Source organism: Homo sapiens, chromosome 2 (assembly GCF_000001405.40).
Source record: "Homo sapiens chromosome 2, GRCh38.p14 Primary Assembly".
Taxonomy (NCBI): domain Eukaryota; kingdom Metazoa; phylum Chordata; class Mammalia; order Primates; family Hominidae; genus Homo; species Homo sapiens.
Window position 1 is genome coordinate 155,207,718 of NC_000002.12, and position 11,462 is coordinate 155,219,179.

The following is an 11,462-nucleotide window of genomic DNA, read 5'->3' on the forward strand; positions in this document are numbered from 1 at the left end:
AGCATTTGTAGAGAAAAACTGCCATTAATTCAAAAAAGGTTAGACTACCTACTGTTAGTTACAGGGCCACTTAGGGGCTCAGATAGAGAGGTGAGCCAGATTCCTGCCCTTAGAAGGCTTATAGTTTAGGCACTGTTATATTAGAGACAAAGTTGGCACTGTTTATATAGAGACCTTGGTCACAGAGGGAGGAGTTTGTCGATGTGGAACGTTCTTTGCAGCTTCTGATAATTTGAACAACATCCACAATATTGCAAAGCCATTGCACACTTCTTTTCAAATAAATCATGATTTTTTGAAGTATCCATATAACTTCGAATAAGGTGAATTCATCCCCAACTCAAGTATAAATCCTAATTATTCTAAACTGTCATTTCTCAAACTTTATCTTACATAGGAATCATCTGGAAGATGTGTTAAAACAAAAAACTAGACTGCACAGTCCCACCACCAGATTGAGTCAGACCTGAGAATCTGCACTTTTAACAAGTTCCAGATCATGCTGTCGCTGACAAGGGATCACTCTTTGTGAACCACTGACCTCAACTAGTTATGGTAATCTCATTGCTCTTGCGAGTGACTGGTTAGATCACCAGAGTTTGTGTGATTCTGGGCAACGTGAGGGGTCATATGTGAGAGGACTCCTAGGAAAGGTTTCATTGCTGTTAAATGGGACACCTAAGAGGAGAAAAGCATTGTCTTGCTTGTCTGTGTAGCCAGTTTCTTGTAACTATAGGCATCAAAGCCCAAGGGAAATGCCAATAAGGTGAGGACAGTGGAAAATAAAGACAGCACCAACTTGGAAGATACTCTACATTTGGACTTCTTGTTAATTAATATCCTTATTGTTTTAACACAAAGAGTAGGGGGGATGGTGAAATCTCAATGGGATATTTTAAGACCAACTGAGACCAAGAGACAGATTTAGCAATTGCCAGGAAGGAGAAGCTGAGTTGATTAGAGAGGATTTTTCAGAGGAACTGAATAATTCTAGGACACTTTACTGTATGAGAATGTTATTAGGAAAGTTTTAAAATTTTTTATGTTTTTTAATTGTTGAAATTAGTTTAAGGAGAAATACCGCTAGCTCAAGGTCACTCGGGTATACTTCAACTGCTCAGTATTGAGCAGGGAGTAGATAGAGTCATGCAAATAAAGATACAAACAGAAGCATGAAACACTATGAGAGGAGAATGGAAGCCCTGACCTATTAGTAGTCTGGATAATCAGAAAACATTTTCCTGGCAGTTTTATTTAAGCCATGATGAGTTTGGGAGTAAATTGGGAAAAGACATAGGTGAGTCAGGTGGTGATGGGATAGGGGAGATAATTCTAGGATAGGAAATAGCTAGATGCAAGTAAAACATATTTTGAGGATGGAAATTTTATCTTGCAGAATTTTTCCTCAATTCATTTTTACTCTCGCCTCATAAAAGCACAATCTCTACAAGGATGATTATACAATCAATATACAGTTAGTACAATATGGCAGCATCTCTCAGCCCTATAGCTTTACTGATTTTCATCTTAATCTGCCTTTACATATACAATTTATTTTTCTTAGTCATGTGCTTTAAATCTGAAATATTTAAAACTGCATTTTTCACATAGCAAACTAGATTTAAAATGGACTGACAGTCTATGTTCCTCATACTATGTGTCTAATACTTCTAATTTCTTAACTATGCTTTGTTTATCTGTATCTTTAATTCATTTACTTTTTTATGTTAGAGAAGTTTTGTTACTTTTTTATTTTTGAAAATAAGATACTTTATTCCTGCACATTCACTCTCCAGTCCATTTACCTCTTTTATTTTCTACAGGCAGTTATAATTAAAATAATTTATTTAGCATACTAACTTTTGTCAGCTGCCTCTTTACACTAAAATATTAGCTCCATTAAAACAAGGATTCTCTGGTCTTATTCACCACTGTGCCCCCACACTGAAGTAGAGTCCCAGGTCAATAAACATTTGAAGAAAGAAAGATAAAAAGAAAGAGAGAGAAAGAGAAAGAAAGAGAGAAAGGGATAAAGAGAAAGAAAGAAAGAAAAAAGAAAGAAGGAAAGAAAGAAAGAAGAAAAGGAAGAAAAGAAAAAAGAAAGAAAGAAAAGAAAAAGTAAAAGAAAAGAGAAAGAAAGGAAAAGAAAAGAAAAAAGAAAGAAAGAAAATGGAAGAGAAAGAAGGAAACAGAAAGGAAGGAAGGAAGCAGGAAGGCGGGCAGGCTAGCAAATATGAATATTGCATAAAAGATCTAGATGTTATTATCAGCTTGGCTATAAGGAGAGGTAACAATTATGCATGTACACAAATAGGATATTTTTCTTTTAGCTCTTCTGCAAATATACAAACATAAAATTATACATTAAGATTTTTCCTTTGCATTTAAATAAGTGCTCAGTTCTTTAAAGTATTATTTGCACACATTTAAAAGGACAGAATGAAACGGCTAAAAGTTATAAATCAGCCATTATAGGATAAAGTTTACATGAGAAAGGAAATATCTCTTTCCAGTTAAAGGTAGACAATAAAACTTGTTGTGAAATGAGGTTGCTGGTAGACAGATTTATTCATTCCAGTCCATTATTTCAGAGAAGCAGAGCATACTTTAGTGTTTAATCAGATGTCAGAGAAAAGTCATTATACTAAAAGTTTCATACAAAATAAAAATGAATAATTTCAGCTTTTGTTAGGAAATGATTTTTATTGCATTGGCATGTTCCATTTATTTTTATGGTCTGAAAATGGCTTGAACTCAAATTTAAAGCAAATTCCATGAAATAATTATGAAACAATATTGCTAGGAGTAATGGGAAACATAAAATTCTGTGAGGCTCTTAAAACTAACACCAATTATACCACATTCTTGAGTGTGTTACATTTGAATTGAATTGAAAACTTATACAGACATTTGAATCAAAAACTTTTACATGCATTCTTTTGTATGTGTCTGTATAAATTTAAGGTCAGATATTATGACACATAAATATTTGAGCAATATCCTATTTTTTTCTAAGCTAATTATGAATGTAAATATATGTAGGTATTTGCCTTAGTAAAGATGAATGAAAAATGTGCTAAATTTAGAGGGTTTGTAGACCCTTTTTATCTTTCTAAAATTATTTTTATCTTGTGCATTTATTTTCTCATAATTTTTCTTTTGAGAATTTTCTACTAAATAAATTGTTAATAACAACTTGTGTTTTAGAAAAGGCAATCTAAATACAGTTTTATTCTTTCAAAACTATTTTTATAAGTGGATAAATTCTTAAGATTCTACAAAAATGTCCAAACTCCTGACAAAAATCATGCATCAAGAAGTCTTCCCACTTAAGTCCATAATTAAACCTAAACAGAAATTGCCATTATATTTACCAAAATGGCATATCATCTTATTACGTTTAATAAACAATCATTTCAACTTTCAAATTTTTATAATTTTTAAGAAAAAACAATGCAATTTTTCTAAATATAATTTATATGATAATTACTTATAGAAAATAAGTTCCATAATTTCTAATTTTTTTCAATTCTCAGAACTAATAAGTTAAGAGTATTTACTTTGCATTTTACCATTGATAAGTTAGGCTAAATTTTATAATAAAATATAACCAAAACAAATAAAAAACTATTACATTTCATACTATTTTGAAATATGCCTGGAATATATAGAATTTGGAATCCCGTCTCTATTTCCAGGGCACTCAATTCCAGTTTAATAAGTGAACAGATGAACATTTTAAGCATATACATGTCTTCTCCTATAAATGCATCTCTGATCCTTATTTCATAGTGTAGTTCATTTCTCTTTGTATCATCTTTTAAAGGACATTGAATTTATAAAAAACAATGTTACCTAAGCGGATTTTTGTTCGTGAAAATGGATATCTGTACTTGAACTCATTGACCAGGTACATGATAAATAAAAATATGATTGCCTTTGTACAGCACAACTGGCAGTCATGTATTCCACCCAAAAATAAAGTTAGCATGCATATACCATGCATTTTTGTTAAGTAGTGAGGCTTCCTTTAAACACTCATTTACTTTCTCAAATCAGGAACAGGATTAACATTCATGAAGCAAAGGGAAGAGGAATCAAGTGCATCCAAGCATATGTAAGTATTTTTTACTCTATCCACTCCTTTGGGTTATAATATCTTCCCAAATAGAAAGTTGAGCCACAGTTTTTATAATTTTTTTTTTGACATAGTCTTACTCTGTTACCCAGGCTGGAGCCTGGAGGCTGGAGTGCAGTGGTGCAATCTCAGCTCATTGCCACTTCCATCTCCCAGGTTCAAGTGGTTATCATGCCTCAGCCTCCCAAGTAGCTAGCATTACAGACGTGCGCCATCAGGCCTGGCTAATTTTTGTAATTTTAGTGAAGACGGAATTTTGCCATGTTGGCCAGGCCAGTCTCAAACTTCTGACCTAAGTGATCCACATGCTTCAGCTTCCCAAAGTGTGATTACAGGTGTGAGCCACCAGGCTCAGCCATGATTGTTTTTGTTTGAATATTGTATTAATTCTGTAAAACTCCAGAAATTACCACTTTGCAAATGTGCTACTTAGTTGCCTAATGGTAACACTAAAAGTAACATCTAAGGTGGTAATTCTCATCAAAGGCAATTATGGCTCCCAGGGAACATTTGGATATGTCTGGAGACATTTTGGTTCCAATTGGGGGTGCTACTTGTATGTACTGGGTAAAAGCAACGGATGCTGCTAAACATCCTGCATTGCACAAGGTACTACTCCTCACAGCAAAGAAATTTCCAGTTTGAGATGTCAATGATGCTGAGGCTGAGAAATCTTGATCTAAAAGTCTCAATTTAAAAGCCATTTAGTCCACTTAAATATGGACTTATTGTTGGTTCTGATCTACACATTTCTCTACAAGTCCCTAATTTAGAAGCTGAACATTTGTTTTTATAGTTGGCAAAACTCACATTCAAACACAGAAAAAAAATTAGCGTCACCAAATTGTTAAATTAAATTGGTGATTTCTGGTAAAAAGTATCTGAGTAACCACTTTCCTAAAATAGATTGTAAAGGAATAGCACGGAAGTTATCTGAAAATAACAGGCTTTCTGTGTCCTGAAGAAATAAATGTAGCAGGTGAAGAGAAATAAATTTCCATTATTTCATGATTGTATGAGGAAACACCCTCAATGGCATCCTCAAAACCTGGAGTGACTGACACATACCATACAGTTTCAACCAAATTAAAGGAAACTATCAGATGCTAACAGGAATTGCCTTTCAAGAGACCAGAGAGAATTATTGGAAGTATGTTGCGGAAATTTTCATAAACCACAGCAAAACTTTTACTGTAGACTTAAGGCTGGAAAGTCAGAGCTAGAAGGTGTGGAATATTCACCATTATAGATTATCCATCATCCATCCCAACCTCCTTTTTATTGGACCTTCCTTTACTGCAGAGATAGAAAGCAAAGAAACATGCTATTTGAGTTCATTGAAGCTAGGGACCTATGTGTGATTTAGATTTCTTTCATCCGATTTCTTCATGTAGATCTGAATTGGAAAGTGAATTGAAATAAGATAGAGAGAAGAAAGATGAAAGGCATGGAAGGGGAATGAGGAAGAAACAAGGAAGAGGAAGAGAAATAAGGTGAAGAGAGGAGTAAAAGAAGAAGGGAAGGAAAGAGGAGAGGAGAAGAGAAGAAAGAAGAGAAGAAAAGAGATACAAGAGGCAAGGTAGCCCCTTGTCAAGCAAATGTGTGGTGACTCCAGAGCCAACAGTTCTGGTGTTTAGTGCTTGATCTTTAGATTTAAGATTGCAGTTAAAGTGATGGAACACTGTGGCTGCCAGTTGGTGCACCAGCTTTCTGAATCTCAATTTCTGGTATTGGCCAAGTGAAGTGTAAGTAAATTAATGTACTGCATTGTCATGTTACTCAAAGTAGAAAAAATGTCGAAACAATGTAAATGTTCCTCAAGAGTAGATCAGTTAATCAATGTGTATCCATATAATTTATTTATTTTTTTCATTAAAATACTGTAGATCTATGTTCACTGCCAAGGAAGAGTGTGATGGCTCAAACATTCAGGCATTCATTCACTTAATGCATATTTATTGAACACTTTCTGTGAACTTGGTAATATACTTGATCTTGATGGTGACAAAATTGAAATATTTACATCATTATATAAATTATTATTTAGAAATTCATGACATATTAAAATAAAATGTATAAAACTATGAATAAAAATAATCTTGCATTAAAGACATGTACTTGCATATTCATAGAAAAACATCTAGCCTACAGTGGTCATTCAATAAATGGAGACAGTGGAAATATCTGAACTGTATGAATAAAAGTTACTACTTTATATCTTTATATACTGCCTAATTAATATTTTACATCATAATTTTATTGCTTTTATAATCAGAGGAAATAAACTGTTTCCATTTTTAAAATAAAATAATTTAGGCATACGTGGCATACTTATAAATCTTCTTTATTCAGAATATGCTTTTTTGTTCTCAAGTGCAATTCGTCCAATATTGTAATGAATAGTCTTATTTTATATATGATATATGTATCTCATTTTACATATGTGTCATATTTTATAGATATGTTTCTGATGGAATTAATCTGGTATGTCTTCTTAAGTTTCAGTGGAAACACAAGAAATCATCAATTGCAATGCTAAGCATGTTGTAAAATGCCATTTCTTCCAAATAGTAATGATTTATTGAGTATTTACAATGTGCAGGACATGATGCTAATTAATTAACCCTCACTACAACCAAACATATTAGATCCAAAAACTTAGCATCTCTTTACACAATAGGAAACTATCACCCTAGGAGAATAAATACCTTGTCCAGTCTATATGGTTAGTACATGATAGAACATAGATTTGAAAAGAGTCTTATAGAGGCAGTAAGTCCATTTCCAAGATACTGTATCTTTTTATTTATCTATTATTTTTTATTTAACTTGGTACTTTTGTCTTCATAATGATTGTACTGTCTTTCATGTTATAAAAAAAGGTGATAATTTCCTTAGAACATTGTAAATGTTAATTGTCTTAACATTTCAATTTAGAATTTTGTCTTCTCACAGAGTGAAGAGGCATAAATTCACAGTTTATATCTTTTAATGTGTTGGGTTTATAGCCTAAGCTTAGTGGGTTCGGTTTATGATAACATAGTAATTGATAGTGAAATTCATAGCTGGGCATGATGGCACACATGTACAGAGCTGGGCTCTGAAGTCTCACCTACTGAGGAGGCTGAGGCCAGAGGATTGCTCGAGCCCAGGAGTTTGATGCTGCAGTGAGTTATGATCACAGCACTGCACTATATCCTGGTGACAAGAAAGACAGGAAGGGAAAGGGAGAAAAGACATTCTGCTGTCTGCGTTTCAAAAAGCCAGGCAAATATATCTGTTTTGCTTCATTTAGTTTTTCATCATTTCCTTCTTCCATAGAAAAACATGTTTTGAAACCTCTGTTTAGCCACTTAGGTGCAAAACACACTCACACACACACACAAACTATTACACAAATAAAGAGGTGCATTGCAATAACCTCCAAAAGTTATTGTATAACTTTACCAATATGCTGATGTCCTTAAAAAGAATTATTGTTAAGAACAATGAATAGGCTGTGTGAATCTAAAGGAGAATTTAACAAACATTCTGAAATTCTTCAAATTTGTCCTTTCTCTAATATCTAAGTAGACTTCTTGCTTCTAATTATCTCTGCAGTTCTTATGAAGTCATTTCCTTTCAAGGAAAGTTAATGATTGAAAGTTACCATCCTATTAGCCAAGTGATTGATGTTAGATAATTGCATTGTGAAAGATAGCAGCTACAAACAAAAGCCTTCCTATTCTCACCAGTTTAGCACTCTTTCCTAATAAAGAACCAGAATGTGACTTCCCAAATGTTATTATTCACACTTTGTTTTAGAACCGATATACCATATAAGAAAGAATAAAGGTGTCACTGAGATATGAAGAATGCTAGTGTTAAATATGAACGTGGGCATATTTTCCACTAAATTTGGAATAACATTAATATATATTGTTCATCTCTAAGGCAAATGCAACCAGATAAACTTCAACCACAATATACAGAGAAGGGGAATTATTATGAATTTCACAATTAACAAGAAAATGCTTTTCAATACAATTCAAAAAGAGTTCTCTGATTTCTAGAACTATTCAATTCAAGTCATTCAAAACCCCATATGTTAAACTAAGTTTTGTACTAAGCATGTGAAATGCAAAACTCAAGTGATAAAATGTCTGCCCTGAAAGTGTAAATATGCAGTGCAACAAACAAGAGAGAACCAGTGGAATAGGCTGTAGCCCTGTGTGCAAATACCTTCCACAAACTGAGAGTAAAGGAATATCAGAACATCCATAAGGATAAATAGACTTCTGTCAAACTAAGAAGGAAAAATAGCTAATTCCAAGAGAATATATTGCATAAAAAACACGGACATGGTGAAACTACCTGGAGCATTCACATAAATGCTTTAAAATCCAGTGCAGCTCACATGGAGAATGCATGGTGGTGGGAGATAAAACTAAAAGGAGGATTTGGGATACACGTTACTATTTAAATTACCAGCTCCATTTCAGAAAGATAATTCTGGCAGCAATTTGAGGAAGAAATAAGAATAAAGATCGAGGATCATCATCAGGTCTGCCCAGTTGTCTCAGCGGGAGGTGAGAGAGCCTGAGAAAATACAGTGGAGGCTGAATGGGGAGCAGAGGAAGAACCAGAACGGTAACTTCAGCATCAAAGGTGCCCAACTTCATGGAGACTTTTAAGAACATAGGCAAACTTCAGCTTTAAAAAGTGTGTGATGCTTTGAGAACTTGTATTTAATTCACTTAACAACATCTCTATGAGATAGCACCATTCCCGACTTGTAGAAAATATGGTTGAAACCCAGACATCAAAGAGTTTAGTACACAAAGAAGATTCAAATCTAAAACCAATAGCTATATTACTCTGATGCTGTTTTCTAAAAACAGAGTAGTTTTTGTTATATAGCCATACAAAATTCTAGGAGATGCTAGTTTTGCATTTGGATATCTATCTATCTATCCATCCATCTATCTATATCTATATAACTATCTTCCTGTATCAATCCTGTAGAATTTGAGAAATTATTATCTCTTCTTCACAAAATTTCTTTAAAGTAACAGAAATATAGAAAAGAATAATAATACTGACAGTAGGACTTCTGATCTCGTCTCTTTTCTAATTCAGTCCTATTGGCTCTATATGACTCCTTGTCCAATCTAGACACCCATGTTCAGAAACTTCTGGAATGTCCTGACAAACGTATTCTGGTTCCAGCATAAACTACTGCCACTCTAAACTAACATTACCAAAACTATACCCCTTCTTCCACTTCTCATGCTGCAGAGAGTTATTCTGAAGCAACAAAATACAATTTAGACCAGGCCCACTAAAAACATATGATATCTCATCTCAATTATATCTTTGTTATGACTTGGAAATGCTTATACTCATCAATGTATCTAAAACATTTTTGAAGTTAGAATACAAAAAGCATTATTTTAAAGTATTTTCAATTTAATAAGTATTTATTACATCATTACTAAGGTTAATAATGATAAGCTTGCATTTTTCGACTATTTGCCAGTTGTCAAACAGTGTTTGACATGCTTCACATGCATTATCCTATTTAATCCTCAGAGCTAATGCCATACTGCTGTAAGGACTAAAGCAGAAACACAAAGAAAAGAAACACCTCTGACTCAGCCTCCCATACTGAAGCCGTGACTCTAAGTAAGACTTCAGACAACACAACCCAATAACTCAATAGATTCCTTATTATTATTCTTAGTCTGCATCTGGAGCCACAGAGGTTTAGGGGCATTAAACAAATACTTCAAGGTCACAGAGCTAATAGCTGTCAAAACCAGAACTTAAAATAGTTCTACTTGAATCTAAGGTTAATTGTTATTTATATTATACTATTATTATCTTACATTCAAGGTCCCCCAAATCCTTACCATAGTATATAATAAAAAATATGAAATAAAATTGGTTTCAATTTACTGTTATAGTTGTTTAAATAAGAGATAAATATATCAAGATAAACATAAAAATATAGAAGATAACAATACAAGAGGTTTAAGAAAAGCATATTATTAATTAGAGAATGCATATATAATAATATTTATTTTTTAAGTTAAGAGCCAATGGTCAGAATTGTCTACCTCTTCTTTGCATTATCCAAGAAGTCCTTGAAATGATACAGTGGGTTTTACATGTTTTTAAAGTGTAAACTCATAATCTTAGGGAAAACAAGAGTTTCCCAGCAGCAGATTTTATATTTTAAGAAATTATTGGAAAATTAGGAGGTAGGCATGGTATGTTTACTTGACAATAAAGACCAGAGGAAACTACAAATAAAGCCTTATCAGGGAAGCCTGTAGAAATACTCTCAAATGAGAGTGAATTATGCAGAGCAAAAGAGTATCTGCAAGGACTGAGGGCCATCTTTACCACAGTTAAGATCTTTATTCTGAGAAGCTAGGCAGCATAGGCAGTCTTGACTCTCAACCTCCCTCAAACATTTTCTAAACAGAGTAAAGTATCTGCTTAGAGAGAGATCCTACTCAGCAACTAAGGATGAAGATTTACAGGAGTAAAGCTAACTCCAGACCACTACAGGGACTACAGAGGCAGAAACACAAAGAAAAGAAATGCATCTGACTCAGCCTCCCATACTGAAGCAGTGACTCTAAGTAAGACTTCAGACAAGGTGCCACCATAACTCCAGCCAGTTGGATAGAGAACTCCTGTAGTGGGAAGATAAACACTCTCCCTTATTTATAATCACTCAGAGTTTTTAGCCATAACAAGAACACAGGTTCAATAACAAGGAAATATCAATAATCAAATATATTCGGGAAGAAAAAACATTGAATGAACACACATTTCAGAAAAGTAAAGGTTTCACGTAAAGAGGAAGCCCTACAAATGGGCCACATGAAAGTAGCTGAGTTTAAAGAAACTACATGTTCAATAGCCTCAACAGAAATGAACATCTGACAGAAAGGAAAGGTTTCCTTCTTTAAAGAAATTAAAACAATTTATTTTAAAGGGAAACAAAATAAACATGCTGAAGATTGGCTTAAACCAGAATGTCTGACTGAGATTTTCTGCCTGAATGCTAAGCCAATGGCAAAGTGATTGAATGAGAAAGAAATTAAGAAAAATGATGAGATGTATCTACAGGTTTCAAGATCCATATAAAAGAAATTTATAAAATGAGAGTACAGAAAAAATGGATAGAGAAAGATAAAGACACAGTTGAATAAATTTCCCTGAGTTGTAGGAAGGCAGTTTTCAGATTGAAAAGGCTCAGAGGTCTCTCATCAGAAAAAAAAATGAAACAGAAAAACAAAACCAAAAGTACTCAGTATATTTTAATGAGACA

The 11,462-nt window shown here is 33.5% G+C and overlaps 1 long non-coding RNA gene across 1 annotated transcript; it reads left to right on the forward strand.

Annotated features, from left to right (window-relative positions):
- Nucleotides 1–444: 444 nt before the first annotated feature.
- On the forward strand, nucleotides 445–5,613 carry LOC107985952 (uncharacterized). Its single transcript, XR_001739745.1, has 3 exons — nucleotides 445–555; nucleotides 4,060–4,117; nucleotides 5,533–5,613. It is a non-coding gene; the product is annotated as an uncharacterized LOC107985952 (long non-coding RNA).
- The last annotated feature ends 5,849 nt before the right edge of the window (nucleotides 5,614–11,462 follow it).